At 33.2% G+C, this 19,858-nt stretch overlaps 1 protein-coding gene across 4 annotated transcripts in view; it reads right to left on the minus strand.

Annotated features, from left to right (window-relative positions):
* The window catches only part of VWDE (von Willebrand factor D and EGF domains), a 72,981-nt gene that overhangs the window by 44,549 nt on the left and 8,574 nt on the right, over positions 1-19,858 (minus strand). For 3 of the 4 annotated variants that reach the window (NR_144534.2, NM_001346972.2, NM_001135924.3), the window contains exons 2-7: positions 18,161-18,345; positions 13,694-13,925; positions 8,103-8,168; positions 5,053-5,300; positions 4,044-4,133; positions 2,343-2,487 (exon numbers count right to left, since the gene is read on the minus strand). Coding sequence is in view for 3 of the 4 variants with exons in the window: in NM_001346972.2 (NP_001333901.1) it covers positions 2,343-2,487; positions 4,044-4,133; positions 5,053-5,300; positions 8,103-8,168; positions 13,694-13,925; positions 18,161-18,345 (966 nt within the window). In the remaining variant the exon portion in view is untranslated. Of the gene's footprint in view, positions 1-2,342; positions 2,488-4,043; positions 4,134-5,052; positions 5,301-8,102; positions 8,169-13,374; positions 13,525-13,693; positions 13,926-18,160; positions 18,346-19,858 lie in introns of all 4 variants that reach the window. The other variant, NM_001346973.2, reaches the window with a different exon arrangement.

Here is a 19,858-nt window from a genome sequence, read left to right on the forward strand (position 1 = left end):
TATATACATATGTACACATAAATACATATTACAATTTTCAATTAGGTTATAAACCTGTATGCAACTGAAGGAAATTCAAAAAGAATAGATAAAATTTATTCTTTTACATATTACATATATTATAATTTTACATATTATATATACTAACATGATTTTTTCTGTCTAAGATTTGTAACGTGGGCCCAGATACTTCTGTAATATTTCTTAGCATATGTGTTCATGTTCCATCCATTGTTGAATAGTAGCAATGGCTTTTAATTATTGATAAAGGGCTTATCATCTCAAAAAATAGACAAATCACAACAAATGAAGATGATCTCACAACAGTAACAAGCTATCTTCTTTCACCTCCCAAATGTCCCAATATATTCACAACCTTGAGATGCTCCCTCGCTTCGATAACAAAGAAAAAATAATTTGGAAAGGAAATGGTAACAAAAAAAGAGAAAAGAACTCCAGGAATTTGTATAACTAAACAAAAAGAACAGATTTGCCCCCAAAATTGGTCAGAGAGGAAGTATGCTATCATATCCAATTAATGATTCCAAAGTCCTCCTAAGAATCTAAAAGGAAAAAAGTTGTTAAAAAATGTTCTATCTTCTTTTCTTCCATACAGATTTTTTAGGTATGAAGTTATATTAATCAGATATAGGCATACTGAACTATTTTTTTAGAAATATATACTTTTCCCATGCACATAAAAAATAACAGAAACATTCAAACTCTTAACCAACTCTCTAAGGTGAATACAGAATATTTCTAGCTTAGATATAGCCCATAACATCCATTCCTCAAGCCAATACATGAGGGGTTGTTCTCTTTAAGCCTGTGAATAGCAGCATAGTCTGTTTAGAAATACACTCAGACACCAACTGGTTCCCTATGAAAGTAAAGATTTAATGCTACTGTACTTAAAGAGGACAAGATGAGGGGTATCCAGAATGAAATCCAGAATTTTTTCTTCAACAAACAAAAGCCATTTTTAATTCTCAGAGAATAAGAACATGCATGCAAACTTCTAAAATGTAGAAATATATTTAGGCTATTATTATATTATTTTAGCAATGCTTGCCTTGTTGAAAGAATTGAAAGCATGAAAATATATTTTAAAGTATACCTGTAACTGAAGAAAATCTTTGACTAACATGATTTTGGAAAACATCAATAACATCATCCTCTTTCTGTTCTCTCCATAAACTATAGTAATATTTGCATAATACACTTTTCAGAGCTAACTTGAAGTAGAATTGTGTCAAATAGTCCGAGAGAGGGTATAATGTAATATGTCTAGGCTGTAATTAAAAATACAATGTTGCTCGTGGTGCTCCTGAAATCTGAGCGAGTAGGTAGGTATTACTGAGCCTGCTTACTGTTAACAATCCTAAGATGACCTCTCTTAATTCCTCTATCTCTTTAGCCATCTCTTTTCTTGAGTGCATCATTCCAAATGATTCTCTTTCTCTCTCTCTCTCTCCTGGCTTTTTTATCTTCTTGTTTCTCTGATTTAATTATTTATAATATGGACATGAAGGTCTATAGATACCTTGTGTTTGGTATATTTACTAAAGACAATGTAATGTTCTACGGTGAAAATGTATGTGGTATGCCAATGAAATTGTAATCTCTCTTAAAGGTTATATTTTATGTATCTGTAACTTGCTTTGATCTCTACATCAGGGGCTCAGTGGGAAAAAGAACATAATCAAGCCAATCACTGCTATGCATGGTTTGTCCTCGCATATTCTATCTTGTTATGTGGGAGGATTTCTTCACTCTATCCATTGACACATATGTGGCCATGTATCACAACATCCATATAATCAGTAATTGAAATAGAAGAATTTTAAGACACAAGATCCCAAACATAAACGTACGTTAGGGAGAGAAACTTGAAGGATGCATTATGAGATCTATATTTCATAAGCTTGAACTTTTAACGTAACTTATCAAATGTCTCTCATTGGGGATGATTTGAAAAATCTTAAAGAGCAGTTTTTCCCTCGTTTTCTGTAAACTAAGCAAACAGAGGAATAAACAGGAGAATGAGAAAAAAATAGGAGAAAAAAAGAGGAGCGAGAGGAAAAAGATGATGACGAAGAGGAGATTATTCACTATTTTTTTTCTTTTTTTAAAATGTATGCTTTCAGCCAAGAAGAAGAAATGTGAATTGCTTTGGCAATCGTCAGTTTGGCCGAGTATTAGTAATATGATTGGGCTAAAATTTGATGTCAACATGCAACATGATTTATTATATGAGTACACTCCAGTGACTTTTCCTACAGGAAAAAAAAGCATTATTGTTTGCAATCTAATAATAAGATAAAATAAAGTTAGTATATTACCTTGACCAATAGTTTTCAGTTTTAATGAGATTTTGCATTCTTGATCAAGCTCACTAAATTCAGAACAAATAATAGGAACTGTGCTTTCTATCCTCAGGTAGTATTCTTTCCCATCCTCTGATATAGTGCTCAATTCAGGCTGTAGCTGGTATAAGAAAATACGTAGAAAAATTATGTTAAAATATAATTTATTTCTAAGGCACAGTTTTGAAAGGGCATTTTCTCAACAGCACATATTTTACTAAATAATAACTTAAGCCCTAGAATGTTTTAACTAAGCAAGACCATTAAAATCAAACTTATACAAATACAAGCAGCACACACAGGAGTACATGGAGCTGCTGTACTGCTCTGAGTTTGACTCACTTTGGTTCCCCAACACATTTGGCAAATCATATCCAAGCCTGCCTCAATGATTCTGGTTCTGTGGTGAGCACTGGAAAGCGAAGAAGAAAGAAATATTTCTATTTTCTTCCACTTTATTGCTAATGTTTACTGACACACCAACAGAAGACTCTGGTTTTTCTTAGGGATTAATACCACCATCTCAATTAGAAATTTAAGTACTTTTAATACATAAATCAAATTATTGTTGTCACCTGAAATATCTCCACACTTAGCTTATTTCTCAGCATCTGATTTCCAGAGTTGAACTTCCTGAGAACTGGTGCAACCCAGGACTGGCCCTATCTTCATTCACAGGCCAAACCTTTTTTGAGGCAGGAATGTTTCCATGCAGTCTCGAGTCTTGGCTAGCTCTCAAAACAGATGATTCTTAATACTGAATATTCTCCCTGTTAGCCTAATCAGAAAGGGTACAAGGGTGGGGGTGCTGACTATTGACCCCTGACACTGTCTGCTGAGTGCTAACCAATGTAAACCAAAATGTTCCTGTGTTCTCAAAGCTTGACCTCTGCTTCCCCTCACGCTGTAGTTATGCAATTCTGACAAAGTGGTCCACTCTTCTCACTTCTTTTCCTGGTTCCTACTGTGTGTACATGGACTTTATTCATAAACAGGGTTTATCCTGGTCCTGAGTCCTATTCTCACAATCTTACCATTTATCTCATCTTGTCCTTGAACGAGAAATGAATCCAGGTCAAACTCGAGTCCTGTGGGTGAGACCTTCCAGGTTCACCGTGCTTGCCTGCCTGGACCGTTTGATATTGCCCCCACTTCTTCCACTGCTTATTAATTCCCTGTCATCTCTGCTCATCTGCTAGAATAGCTCTTCAGTTCTTGGATCCTATTGCCACCAGCAACAACCAAATCTCCTCCTCTGTTTAGCTAGCTCAATCTTTGCAGTCCATAAAACTCATAGCTCTGGGTCAATTCTACTCTAGTCAGAGACTCTACTACTTGGCCTGGTATCTGTCTTCCAAAATGCATGATAACTAAATATTACTAGGCTAACTTTCGTTACACGATGGAATGAATTAGAGGAATAGACCTTCTGCTTTACTCTAATTTGAGCTATTTCTTTAAAAAATGAAGGTACATCTCAACTTTAGTTAACAAGACCCCTCAAACTTTGTTGCGCATTAGAATTACTGGGGCTTTTCTTCAAATATGGGGACTCATGGGTCTCAACATTCCGATTCAGTCTGTGATGAGGTACAGAAACCAGCATGGACAGATCACAGTTTGGGAAACATAGTTCCAGAGGAATAATCTTTCTGATGCATCCCCACTGCTGCGTACCTTAAAGCCTGCAAAAAATTCTTGGCTTTCGATGGCTACACTTTGTACATGAGGATTCTCCAAGAAAAAGACAGAAGCGCTGCAGAATATCTATGGATATAATTAAAAAATAATCACTTAGAAATTCAATTTTGGAGAAAACGTGTAAATTATCACTTTTAAAATCCTAAATTTAATTCTTCATAGATAGTATATAAAGATAATAAAAGAATTAAATAATTTAAAAGCTTACTTGATATTTCAGAAAAATTCCATCATTATAAAATATGACGTATTCAAACCTCAACATAAAGTATAGTAGGCTTTGTATTTAGGATGTTTTTAAAAAGTACTTAAGGCCGGGTGCGGTGGCTCACGCCTGTAATCCCAGCACTTTGGGAGGCCGAGGCGGGCGGATCACGAGGTCAAGAAATCAAGACCATCTGGCCAACATTGTGAAACCCCGTCTCTACTGAAAATACAAAAATTAGCTGCGTGTGGGTGTGGTGGCGGGCGCCTGTAGTCCCAGCTACTCAGGAGGCTGAGGCAGGAGAATCGCTTGAACCTGAGAGGCGGAGGTTGCAGTGAGCAACCTCCGAGATCGCGCCACTGCACTCCAGCCTGGCGACAGAGTGAGACTCCGCCTCAAAAAAAAAAGAAAAGTAATTAAAAAGTGACATCGTCATTTAAAAAATTAAAACATTTTTTCTAGAATAAACGTATATAATTTTAAAACCTGAGAGGGACATATATGTGTAAGAACTTAAAGTATAATAAATATATATATAAAAAAGGATTAATAATAATCAGCAAATTACTAAAATGATATATTCATATATAGTCACTAAGATCACTGACTCCTCCAGTTATCACGAGAATTAGCACAATTGCAAGGAAAAAAAAACAAAAAGAAAAATATTAGGGCTTTATACTCTGGGGACAAAATCTATTTTTTGGATATGATGTTTAAAAATCGTGTTTGAAAATCAATACATTCATGAAAATAAAATGCAACTGTTTTTTAACATACCCTGTCTCCAAGTCTGAGATTTATGCCATCAAGTTCTAAAAGAGAGAATGCCTGAACTGTGGTCTCTTGTGTCAGCTCCTCTTTGACTTCTTGAGAAGAAAGCCTAGACCAAGCTATGTGAAATCCCACTGAGTTTTTTGTAGCGGGAACATCAAAAGAACACCTACAGAAAAGCCTGGACTCAATCAACTCCACCAGAACCTCTGGCCTTCCTGCAGGTGGAGGTGGCAATGAGGCAGCCAGCTGACCTGGGGAGAAAATGCATAATTTGTAACTGGGAATCTTAGACAATGGAGACTGGCTTATGGAAAAAGCACTCAAAGACTATAACTCTGTGGTTTATCTTAAGAAAAAGCAAGCTAAATTTAGAAAAATGATTATTTCTAGCAATCAACAAAGTAATACTTTCATATTCTGGCCCATAATCACACAAATATTGATAGCCAAGCAACGTTATCAGCTCAAGCTTATATTAATGCAGGTTGAATATCTGCCTTTGAAAAGTCTAGCTCTTGAAAAGAAATTTGCATTCTTTGAAGCACTTATCTTTTCTAAAAGATGGAACAAACAAAATTAAGGTTTAGTACATTATAATTCCTTGTTATAATGAGAAATAGCCACAAGAATGTAAAATCAAATTACTTTCTCTCTTACTGTTACAGTTTTCTCTTATAACTCAACTTATCATTACTCTGGGCTGAAAGAGTTATTCATTGCAGAGGTGATTATACTATCTTAGTGAAATATCTTATTCCTTTCATTTTTCTGAGGTTAAAGAAATTTGAAGTTTCCTCTAAGAACTCACAGGAAAATTTTATATCATTTTGAACTCTGGGCATTTGCAAAATCAAATCTGGGGATCTGAAAGTTTTCTGGATAAGTTTTTTGTTTAGTTTTGTTCTGTTTTAGAAAGAGGAAAAATATCTGAGTGGTAAATTTTTAAAAGAAGATTTTAAAATGTTCTAAAATAATTTGTCTATTTTATAAATATGCTAATTTTAGGAAAATCACAAAATAATCTTTCAGCCTTGCCATGTAGATTTTGGAAAATTCTGGAAAGACCTTGAAACCTTTTCTGTGGAGAAAATGTACTTTTAGATATTTTACAGTGTTATTTTGTTATAGTCCCAATGACAAATGAATTATTTTCAAATTTACCTAGTTAACAAATATTTTGCTAAGCATTTTAAACATTAGACCAAATCAGTATATTCGAACTTGAAGGAAATAATAAACTACTTTTGAATATATATTTGATTTTAAATATTATATATCTGAGTAAAAATTTATCCTTAAATAAACTAGGAAAAGGACATTTAGTTTAAAACAGGGAAAAGCTATCTATGGAAATGATTATTAAGAATAAGAGAAGACAAATGACTGAAAAAAATAATTCATGATGATTAAAATGTTTGAATCAATACTTTAAATTGAGAACTATCTGGGCAGATTGATCATTGCTTGCAACAGTATAGATGAAACAAAATTTGTTATATTTAAAGAAAAAGGTTTAGAAACAACAGATAAATTATGTCTACTTAGAAAATCAAAATTAGTATTCCTTTGTCAATTGTAATATTAGTATGTATTAAATATATTAATACATTTTCCATTTTACCATGAAGCTTTATTGACTTTTGACTCAATACTTTCATTTGGTGTTGCTTCCCCAAATTGTGTGCAATTTGCATAGCAGAGTTTTTTTTAATTAATTGCATAAATGTTCTAAAGAGCATAATAAGTAGGTGAAATTTATTATTTATTCAAGAGGAAAAAGTGATTTTGCTACAATACATATACAGTATAGAGAATTTATATCTATTATGCAGAGTAGTCAAATAATTACATTTTATGTTTACTGCTGCTATTATGAATATTGTTTTATTACTTTGTGAACTTAAATCACAGGGCTTAATTAAACTGACCTCCACATACAGTAATAGCTTGTGTAAAATATACAAAAAAAAGGGCTAGAAAAAAACCATTTGGAATAGGGCATGAAATAGAGCATGAAAATTCAATTCAGAGTGATAAATTTTGAGGATTATTATAAAACTCTTTTTAAAATACCAAGCATAATCATTTCTAGGCCTGATATTTGAACATTATATGATCTATCCTGATTTATTTTATGTATTTATGGCTTGTTCCACCATATAAAACACCTCTGTTAATTAAATTAATTATATGTCAACAGTCTCTCATGCATTTCAGTTATCCTATTTGGCTAACAAAATATGATAAGGCTAATAATCCCATAAAAGGCTAATATTTCAATAAATAATTTCAATTTCTGCCCATCATGTAGGCAGATGACATACATTTTATCACTTAGATAATCTACTTAGAGTAATTTATTTTAAGGCATATTATAGTAGGAGGATTTCTTAATATTTGAAAAAACTTTAAAATATTTAAAAAATAGAAAATAAAAAGTATACATTGAAAGGAAGAGAAAAATTTTAATCACTATCAACATCATTGATGTTTGTCTTTCAAGATTTATTTGACATAAATACAATCGTTCCCTTAAAAAAAAAAAGGCATTGTTGTATTGTATAATGTACTTCTATACTTTAATGGTGTTTGCAAAATATTTTGTCAGTGTTTATGTATCAGAAATATTGACTCAATCAGCCAATCAGCAGTTACTGGATGTTTGCAGGTTTCTTAAAACATTATTAGACAAATTCTGTTATAAATATTGTGTTCGCACACTTCCCTAAATAGTTCTCTAAGACATATTTTTGAAAGTAGAATTGTTAGGTACAAACACACATGGAGTTTTAAGAATGTTGATATGAACTGCCAAATTTTCTTATGAAAGATTCTACTAATACACACACGTTTGCCTAACTCTCTGTACCTCACCCAACTCGAGGACTATTTCTTAAAGGCACGATAAAGTTATTTTTATTTTTGATAGCTACCAGACTTTGGTTATATCAAATATCAATATAATTCAACATCCAAAGCTGCAGAATATAATTATCTGTTGAAATAGTCTAGTTTATAAAAACACTATTAAAAAAGCAAAATATGATACTTACGAACACAATCACCTCCTGTTTCAGTTTCATCAGAACCACATGGGTGTAATCGTGCATCAGAAATAGCTGCCAAGGGTTAAGGTTTGTATAATTATTCAGCTGGGCATGAAGATATACATCTACATATATCCAAGATGACAATTTATTGAAGGATGATTTAATACAGACTAAGACTTTCTTAATTCTTCTCTTATTTCATAACATTTTTTTCCTTTTAAGGGTGAGATCAAATGAAAAGATAAGGCATCATATTTCAAAACAATCAAAGCTTTAATATCTTATTTTCTAAGTACAAATCTGCATTTTTAAATAGTGAGACACTGACAACATCAAATGCTGACAAGGATGTGGAGCAACAGGTGCTGGTGAGAATTCAAAATGGTACAGCTATTTTGGAGAACAGTTTAGTGGTTTCTTACAGAACTAAACATACTCTTAGCATATGACATAGAAATCATGCTCCTCTATGTTTACCCAAAGGAGCTGAAAACTTATTTCCATAGAAAAACCTGCACATGGAAGTTTATAGCAACTTTATTCATAATTGCCCAAACTTGCAAGCAACCATGATGTTCTTCAGTAGGTAAATGGATATGCTGTTGTACATATAGACAGCATGGAATATTATTCAGCCTTAAAAAGAATTGAGCTATCAAGCCACAAAAAGACATGTAGGAAACTTAAATGAGTATTAAGTGAAAGAAGCCAATCTGAAAAGGCTACCTACTAAGTGATTCCAACTATATGAAATCTAGGAAAAAACAACACTATGGAGACAGTAAAAAGAGCTGTGGTTGTCTGGGGTTGAGAGGAGGGAGGGGTGAACAGGCAGAGCATAGGCAATTTTTAGGGTAGTGAAACTAGTCTGTATGTTCCTATCATAGTGGATACACGTTATGAGAAATTTGTCCAAACCCATAGAATTTACAACACCTAGAGCGGACCGTAATGTAAACTATAGACTAGGTGATAATGGTGTGTCAATGTAGGTCATCAATTATAACAAATGTAGCACTCTGGTGGGGGACGTCGACAATGGGGTTGGGGGACTATGCATGTGGGAGATTTACAGAGTATATGTGAAATCTATAATAATAGTGAAACACACTATAATCTCCAGAAATGTATACAACAGTTGGTTTTATGCCAGTTCCTTGGTAATCAATTCCCCATACTCATTTACAGGATTATACCACCAATGAGCCAAGGACAGAGATGGTAATACTTAACAACCCAATGTTCTAAATACAGTTAACTGGCACAAGAGCAACTATCTAAACAAAGGTAGGCTCATCAGATTGCTTCTTGAAAGAATTTAGTATTTAAACTAAAAGACACGAAGTTGGAAGCTTTAGGGGATATAGTATACATTTTTAACTTCTCATAGGCTACATAGGCTAACTTTAATTGATATGATGCTACTTCACATGTAGTATAAGGACCTAACTAGCTTGCTAAGTAGAAATACAAAAAATATAACACATATTCATATTTCCATAGAGTCTTCTAAATAAATAATATTTCAAATATATAAACTTTTTTAGAATTGCTTTGATTACAATTATGATCTTGAATTAATATTTTTTCTTGACTTCTAGAAGGCTCTAGGGATATATAGATTGTGTAAATATATACACATATATATGAATTCTGTGAGAATCAAAACGTCTTCATGAGACTATGATATTAAAGTGAAATTTTGCCCTCTACTATTTGCTGTTTTGGTGATTTTAAAATTAAATATTATGACTCCTAGCTAGATAGGGGCTATTGGTTGTAGACAGCAATACGTCCAAGTAAAAAATGACATTTCACAGACTGCCTTCGAAGATAGAGATGATCCTGGGAATTCTTCTAAAGTAGTTATGATAAGAAGGCTTTTTCCAAATAAGCTCCTTAAAAGGGAGTAAATTTCAGTTAGCAGAAGCTCTCTTTCACCTTTTGAACTTTCTCTTTTATCCTGTCTAAATGCAGATAAAGAGGCTAAAACTGGAGCTTCATCCTGTCACCATGAAGGAAAAGATTAGTGACTTTCAGAGACCTCAGCCTGACATTGTAAAGTGGCCAAATTGCCATCAGCAGAGAACACCTGCTCCAGATATTTGTTCAGTAAGAAAAAGAAACTCTTAAGTAGATTAAGTGACTGTCATTTTTGTTTGCTATCTATGCAGTCTAATTTAAGTTCTAAACGGTATTCCAAGGCAAGCTTCTATCGGCAAGCCAGAGAGAATAATTCATGCATATGTTTGATTAACAGACATTAAGAGTAAAAAAATAACAATTGTCTCCCAGAATTCCTTCTCCCTAATTACTTAGAGGACTTGAATATGGAGATTATGAGGTACTTTTGAGTGTTCTGGGTTAGGAAATCAAGTGGATGATAGTGACATTAACAAAACAGAAAATATTTTAAATTTGGAAGGGATGTCATAAAATGCAAATTTTAAATATTATGTTTTTAAATTCAGTGTAAAAAATATTTGTGGTGAAGTGATTATTTGTATTTTATGTTATTCCCTGGTGTGAAAGTTTTGTTTTCTTTTTTATTAGTTGTCAATGTTTCTTAAACTAATATAGATAAATGATGGGTTTTTCCATGAAACACAGAATTTTCCACAAATATTTGGTAATATTATAGGAAGATGTATAAAAATTAAATACTTTTTATGACAAGAGTGCCAAAAAATATTTTTAAAATATTTCAAAAACTCTTGTCTTGGCCACCCAATGAGATTGATGCATCTCTCTGGATTTTCTCCTTCCTAATGAATGCCACTAGCTATACTAAACTGAGCAGATGCTGCCCTTTCTTAGTAAACAGACTGCCAGTTTTAGCTGGACAGCAGCTGTGTACAGAATGTGAAGGTTTACCAGCTCACTCCCTCAGGATAATTCTCCATAGACTTCTCATTGCACACAGAACAAAACGCAGAGCTCCCTAAATGATCAGGCCTTGCGCTTTCAAACCCCCATCTTGTTATGTTCTCCCTCACTCATTGAGATCTAATATTTCTGTCTGGCTTTCACTCTTGTGAGTACAACATACTCTTATTGCCTTAGGGCCTGCTGCTTGCTGCAGCTGCTGTTTGAGATGTTCTTCCCCTTGCTTTCTGTCTGACCAAGGACAGTTTAACCTCCAGCTCTCAGCATCAGTGCCCTTTTGTTAGACGTTTCGCTGGTGACGCTTCATTATATATTTCATCCTCTCTCACCTTCAGTATTCTCTTCTACAGTATTTTTTAATATTTTCATTCATCAATTGCAATTTATAATTGCATGAATACTCTGTGCCATGTGGGCAGGGACCACATTTGTTTTGGTCACCCCTCTGTACTAAGGAGATGCTGTGTTGATTAGAAAATAAGCATAACTCCAGCAGTACATATGTGTGAAATGATTAGTGCGTTATTATTATACTTGTGGAATACTGCCAATAAATACCTATTTGAATTAATAAATTTTATAAGTTTATTATTTTGATCTTATTATAATAATAAACAATAATTTAGCCTTATTTCTTTTTTAAAGATAGAACTACTGCCTTGCAGTTAATGATAAAGTAAATCTAAACAATTCAATTTTCCATAAATGTAGTATGTATTTCAAAACACTGAAATAAAATTATATGTTGAGAACATTGTCTTAGTTTCTATAATCATGTAAAGTAGACAATAATGCATTATTTGCTTTGAGATTATGGCCAATAATGATATATTACATCAACTTTAGATGTCATTTGGAAATAAAACAGTAGTTAAAAACAGAATGTGAAATTGGAGTGTGTGTCATTGTTTTTATGAAAAAAGATTGCATTACAGACTCAGCAAAAAATTAACCATAGGAGAAAACTTATTGTAATTATTATTTTTGCTGACATTAAGAGAGATTTCTGAGAATGCTAGAAATTTAAAGGAATCAATTTTTCTAATAATACTGGTTTAAATTCCAAAGCTATGACGAGCAAAATAATTTTTGAGATTGGGTATTTTATATATATGTGTATATATACATATTTATGTATATTTATGTGTATACACACACACACACATATATATATAAATATATTGGTTTATTAAAACCTAAAACTATGTTTCCTTTTAACTACTATAATAACCAACTAAGTGATTTTACTTGTTTGCTATAATTGTGTGATTTGGGGTCGGCTAGCTTGGGGAGTCTAACAACCTCAGTAATAAAATGTTCATGAGTGTTACCCATATAATCATCATTGTTGCTCAATCAAGTGTTCATCTGCTTTGATAACACTGTCTAAAAGAGTGTCTCCCGGAACTTTCAGTGTCCTATATATGGTTGAACCCAGGTAACTAAATTGGGGTTTGAGATTCACAAAAAGGTCGCAAAAATAATAGAGAATTTGCACTTATCAATCTTCCACAAATGTTAACATATTACAAAGCCATGATATATTTGTCAAAACTAGGAGATTTACCTTAGGAGTGCACTCTCAAATAAATAAACTGAAGACTGTACTCAGATTTTACGAATCTGAATTTTTCAATTTTCCCAATCAGGATATCCCATTGCATTATTCATTATTTTCTAATCTGTGACTGTTTTTTATTCTTTCCTGGTTTTTCATAATTTTGACATTTTTGAACAGTACTATTCAGGTATTTTGTTAGTGTGTTCTTTAATTTGAGTTTATATAAACTTTCTCATTATTAGACTAGGATTATGCTTTTGGGGGAAGAGTACTACAAAAGAGAAGTGCTCTTATTATTACATGTTATCAGGAGACATGTGATGTCAACATGCGTTATCACTAGTAAAGTTAACTGCAATCACTTGATTAATATAATGTCTGCCAGGTTTCTCCACTGTAAAATTAGTAGATTTTTTTTTTCCTTATCATACCCAATTATTTGGAAACAACTCAAATGCAGCCAACAACCAAAATGAGGGAAGTTATTCAAAATCTTTTAGGTGAAGTAGTAGCAACAATAATTTGTAATTCTTTAAAGACGCTTCGTTTCCTTGCCTCTATTTAATTATCTACTCATACATTTATAAAGTAAGAACTTAGGGATATTTACTTTAATCTTTGAATCATATTCAGTTTATTTTTAGATATTGTCTGAAGCATTCCACTAGAATGTAAGTTTCATGAAGGCAGAGATCTCATTTATCTTGCTCATCACCGTAACTCTGAGGCCTTAAATAATTTCTGGCACAGGATAAACATTCAATAAATATTGGTGAATGAAAGATGAAATAATATAAAATGTATATTTTTATGATAACTTTTACTCACCCTTCTTCATCCTTTAATTAAAACAGGAATGGACTTGAGGAAACCAAAGAATTTTTAACACACTCAATCATTATGTCCAGTGGAAAAATGTGAGATGTCTGTTTTGATGCTTTCACGTGTGGGGGGACTTTACAATCTTGGCAAAGAACCCTAAAGAAATTTGACCAATGTAAACAGAAATTTAGCTTCAATCTAGCAATAATGGTAGACTGAGTATCTTACTGAGATTTGCACTAACTCAATACAACCTATCCAGAGAATGGTACGAATGGCAGAGTTCCATGAATAACAGTCATGTGAATTACTGGTGTTTTCTTACCTTCCGCACAGTAGCCCATACATCCCTGAGTTGGTTGTAGTAAGTATACAGAAAAGTTCCCACAGTTTCTTACAGACACTGGGATTTGAAAGAGACAGCAGTCTTTTGTAGTGCTGAACAAAAACTGCCATGTTGCACAAGCTGTCAATTGCTTGATCTCCCCAGGAGATGGCAGTGTTTCTGAATCTCTCAGAGACAGCCAGATGGGGGCCTGAGTTCCACAATGGTTCATCTTTTGCAGGAGAGAAAACAAAAGTTGAAAATTCAGTTTATTTTCATCCATTGTAGATATATCAACTTTGCATTTTATTCTAATCAAGCCTTAAAATATCATTAATCATTAAAAAAATTATGGCTTGTACCTGTTCTATACAAGGAAAAGTAGTTTTAAGGAATACTAAATTTAAGGGTACACATCTCATAATTAATATACTCATTCAATTACACATTCAATGTAAATATTAATACATTTATTCCATTCATTACATTTGTATTGTAAACAAGGGAAATTAGATCTCAGATACCTTACTAAAATAGCTGATACATTCTAAAATAAGACAAGTCAATCTGAAGTTATGTTAACACATAACACAAAGATAAACTGATCTTGGAAAACTCTTGCAAAATTGCTTGAAATAGTATGCACAAGAAGTTAATGCATAGTTCAGGAGGCAATAAAATCGGGGAGAAGGAAGGTATTGTTCAAAATCTGGTGATGGAAAAATTGTTTAGTAAGTTAGAAATAATACAGTTTGGTGGGGTGCGGTGGCGCATGCCTGCAATCCCAGCACTTTGGGAGGCTGAGGTGGGCGGATTGCCTGAGGTCAGGAGATCGAGACTATCCTGGCTAACATGGTGAAACCCTGTCTCTACCAAAAACACAAAAGAATTAGCCGGGTGTGGTGGCGTGCGCCTGTAATCCCAGCTACTCAGGAGGCTGAGGCAGAGGAATTGCTTGAACCAGGGAGGTGGAGGCTGCAGTGAGCTGAGATCGCACCACTGCACTCCAGCCTGGGCGACAGAGCGAGACTCCATCTCAAAAAAAAAAAAAAGAAAGAAAGAAAGTTTAAACCTCACTTGAAGTCATTTATCAAAATCCTTTTCAGATAAAAAATAGAATTAAATAGAAAAATAACCCAGGAAAAATAAGAAGAAACTATGTATGACTTGGGAAGAACCAGGGCCCTTACTAAATGCATGATCTTGGACAAGGCACTCAACATCCTTCTCTTTTATATTAGGTGGAAGTGGTACCCACCTCAAAGTGCCATAGTGAGGTATAGATAAAGTAATGTATATAATGCAACTTCTACATAGTAATGGCTAAAAAATCGTTAGCCAGGTTATAATTCTTGTTATTATTTCTATGCTTCAAAGCAAAGGAAAAACATAAAGGAAATATTGATATATGTGATTGAATTATAATTTTTAAAATATAAAAGTTAAATAATAAAATTATATGTAAATAGTACTATATTGTGTTATATTTATGTATAATTATACTATATTTGTTATTTTATTTTAACCATGTAATATTATCCATTTAAAAACTCTAAGACTACAAATGGGCAAAATGTACAAATAGGTAATTCACAAAAGAAACACAAATGCCTAATAAATACATGAGAATATTCAGTATTGCAAAAGGTATGTTTATGTACTGCTATTGGAATTAAAAATTATCACTATGTTTTAAATGAACAACTATATGTATCAAAAGCCTCAAAAAGACTTTAACCATTACTAATTTAACTTATAAAAATCAATCTTACTAAAGACACTAAAATTAAAACAATAATTACATGTACATTCGTCAATTGCAGAATTACTTATTATAGCAAAATCCTGAATGTCCACACATATGGTGATGGTTTAAATAAATATGATACATGTATGACATAATATTATTTTCAAAAATTATGAAAATGAATTTATAATAATAGGAAAATGATAATGCTATAACTGTAACTGAAAAAGAATAGCATGTTTTTCAATTGAACATATAACATGAACATTACGAAATATAAATAAGATAAAACAATAGCAAAATGTTAATAACAGTAGTTATGACTGTGTGGATAGATTATGAAGAAATGTTGTTCCATTCCTGTTCTTTATTTCCTAAGCTTTATGTAATGCATAAGCATTATTTAAAACATTACAAATAGTAATTTATGTAAGTCCACGTGTATTAACCTGTAGAGAAAAAAAATCTATTGATTTTCTGGTTGAATACTTTAAAGCCTTAGTACAAAAAAGGAATGAGAGGGTGGGGATAGGGAACACTTCCTCCTGGAGCACAGCCTGCTCAGGTTAGCTGATCTCCAGGAAAACAGCCAAGGAAACTGTTTCACCTACACATTCGTGTGAGGTTCTAGAAACAATTATAGCTAAATCAGCCTTAAGAGAAAAACACAAATATTTTTAAATGTGGTGAAGTTCCTCCAATTTTCTCAAGCTTTTCTTTTAAATTCTGAATTTTTTTTAGTTCTTTACAAATGAAGTGTCACAAAAGCGACTAATGAGCAAATAAACAAAAAAGAGATAATGAGACTTAGCCACAATGCCACACATTAAAATTAAACACTGTTAAAATTTCAATGTCTTTCCAGAGATCTTTTTACATTAGTGCTTAAAAAGGAAAATGATTCCTGTGTCTGCAGTATTTATAAAATGTGAATAACAATAAGGAAAACAAGCCTTTTGCTAAGACATAATCTTATATGATGTGATCTCTCTCCAGGGGCCAATGGTAGTTGCATGACCTCTAGGTTAAAAGAAAATCGACTTTAAGAATGAACTCACACCCAAAAAGTGTATAATTATATAGGGTAAAATTGTGAGTGATGATGAACACGTTAGTAATTTGGGAAGCATGACACAGACATATGTCTTCAATAATACAATGCCTCTATTAGCTACCTATCACAACTGAACACCTATTTATGCAGAACTCACTTGGGAAACCAGTCAGCTGAGAAAGATTGTGATAAGGGAGAAGATCAGGTACATGACTTTGGTCATGTGACTCATGCTTAGTGTCTGTGTCCACATCTTTATAATGAAGTAACACTAGCTACCTAAAAGCATCACTGAGAGAACTAGTGAGTTTACATATGCAATAATGTCCGCAAGTGCAGGGAATTTATAAGCTGCAAAATAAACGTCAGATTAAAACCCTTCTTACCATTTTGATCATATAACTTAGGATGCTGAGTTAATGGGCTTAGTGTTTTGACAGATTTAGACTTAGTCTCATTCCTTAGATCATGTGGATAAAAATGTGGTATCAATAATAAGAGTTGAACTGACAGGATAACTGGTCGAAGTATGATAAGTAGAAATAATGTCTATTTCATGACAGTATCATTAGATGAATGGGGACTATGAACGAATTAGGGGAACTTGCATTTGAAAATCATGCCAAGGATAAGTAGAATTGTCAATAGAAATTCAGAGTGGCTTGGATAAGTAATGCAAGATAGCTGAGGGACAACCCAAGAAATCACACTTTATGTTTTTTCTTCTGCTTATTTTTTGAAGCATTTTGGAAGAAAATGTATTTGTCAAATGAAATAAGAATGAAAGAAGCCACTTGGGCTAGTTCACTATACAAGACAATGCTATGATCACAATCATATCGTGTTGTAAAAAGAGTGAACGTTACGTAAAGTTAAGTTGCAAAAAAAAAAAAAACACATCCGATGTGAGTTCATGTACAAAACCTTTTTAATTTTGTCCATTTAAACCTGATGTGTTTGAAAGACATACACTTACATATTCACAAGTATAAAGAAAAAAAGGTATGCTGGCTGCACAAATTTGGGGATTGAGGAGAGAGATTCAGTGAGATAAGGCCATATGCCTCCAGAGTATTGAATGTCCTGCAGGTACACTGTCTTTCAATTGTGATCAGAAAATACCTGGAGATTTCACTGCCAGGCTGAGTTCTTATTAGTCTTAGAATAGGAGGTGCTGAGCCCGTAAGTTTTACTCCATCAGTTAAGAAATGAAGTGACAGGTAACAACTGACAAAAACAAGCACTTTAGACACACAGTATTTTACTATTTGCAGGTAATACAGCTAAGCACCTGAGCCCTGGAGAACGACTGCCTGTATTCAAAACTCAGCTTTTTGACCTGCTACCTGTGACTGTAAGAGCACTATGCCTAAGAATATATGTTTTCTGCACTGTTTGATGGAAATGATGATAGATTGTATGCTACAGTTGTAAACTTTTATACAAGATATTGTCGGTGAAAGTGTTTCTGGACTGCATGGAGCATAACACTAACAATTACTATTATTATTAGACTAGGTAATGTGGGAATAGTCTTTCAGATTAACTCAATACAAAATTAAAACAACATTTTAGCATGAGAAATAAGCTGGTGGTAAAAAGATACAATTCTCATATGAAAAACACATAAGGAAAATAACATGCAGTACTTAGGGAGTTGACATACCTCAACACATTTGGTTGGCATCTCGGCAGGTCTGTCAAGGATGAGAAATCTATACCATCCAGGGGAGAGGGAATGGTCACATATTAGGTCTTGAACAGCTGACTGCTGGAGGTGCCATGAGTCAAAACGGACACTTCTATAAGGACTCCGAAGAAACTGGTGTCCCCCAGGAGAGCACTCCTGAGCTAGTATGGAAAGACAGGTGTTTTTATGTAATGTGTTTTGTTTGTTGACATAGTTCGGTCCTCAATTAAAATTGATTCCCAAAACAAAAAATAAAGCAAATAAACTCACTATTGCACATAAAGACCCTCTGAAATGTCAGGGTCTCTTAGTAAGTCATAAATGACTTAACTAACTTGCATGTTTCATAAATGCGATAAACAAATCAACAAAACTCTTTAGAATGTACTTTTGAAACACTTAAGCTTTAAGAACTTTATTTTCATTTAATTCGAACAACCAATAGAGCTGGCTGCTCTTGAGTTAGGATGTCAAGTCACAGGACCTACAAGGATTTCTCTTGGGCCTGGTCCTCTGGATTTGAATATCACCATTATTTCTCTACAACCAGTTTCTCCCAAAGTAGCCACATGCCTAAAAAATTCTATTTCTGCCAAATCATGGAATGCAACAAACTGAACTAATCTTTTAATGCTAACTCAACAGGTGTAAAGTGCTTTCAAACTAAAGTTTACTGCATTCTTGGATGCAGAAAAACATTAAAAATTTTAAAGTTATTTTCCAAAGTTTTGGAAGTATGCCTACTAAGCACAGGAAAACGAATGGGATGGAGGGGAGCAGGTTTGAAGGGGAAACAAGAAAAGCCCATGGCGAAAGGGAGAATTATTTAGTCTTTTTTAGGAAACCTTTTATCTGAGTAGTCTTTGGCCTGGAAGATACTTTTTCCATGAAATCCACAGAGGCCGAACAAAAAGCTCCACTTTCCAGCACTAAAAGTGGACAGAAGAGCAGGCAGTGAAACAGTTATCCTAAAATGCAACTCTTGTTTGAGGCTCCTGTGCTCCCAAATTACCCAAATAATAAGCACCACAAGGAACTGTCTGTATTTGAATACCAGAGTATCTTGTTGGCACAGTTGATAGAAAATCTTCAAATACTTATATTATATTTATTGATGGAAAACACTGTAATAAAGATGGCATCTATGAAATAGAAAGGTGAAAGAAACAATTCAGTCACTAAAAATACCTCATCGTGGAAAAACCTTATCTAACTAAAAAATTATCAAATACTTATTATATAATTTTAAATTACAGAAGTGTTTATAAATCAAAATCAATTTCTCAACTTTAATAAGGAGAACAAAAAATCAGAGATACTAATTTACAAGTGGATCTCACAAGTGTAGCCTACGAAAAATAAGTCATTATAATTAGAATTATATTTCTGCTTTTTATTTTGTTTGTAGTTATGGCAATTAAACTATACAAAGATATTATTTTCCAAATGATCTCTCTACAGAATTTTTTTTAGTACAAGATATTGGAAGTCAACACAAAAGGCTCCTCTTTCTTTTGTCTCTAAATCTTCCATAGTTGTTAACTTCCCAAAAGGCTCCGATGTCAACACAAAGTAAGTATTTTATAAAATATGTGTAGATAGGAGTCAAGGGATGTGCTATCATTTCATCTAATTTTAGAATATCTCTAATATCCTTCAAAACAAGGACATTGC

Source organism: Homo sapiens, chromosome 7, assembly GCF_000001405.40.
Source record: "Homo sapiens chromosome 7, GRCh38.p14 Primary Assembly".
NCBI classification, from domain to species: domain Eukaryota; kingdom Metazoa; phylum Chordata; class Mammalia; order Primates; family Hominidae; genus Homo; species Homo sapiens.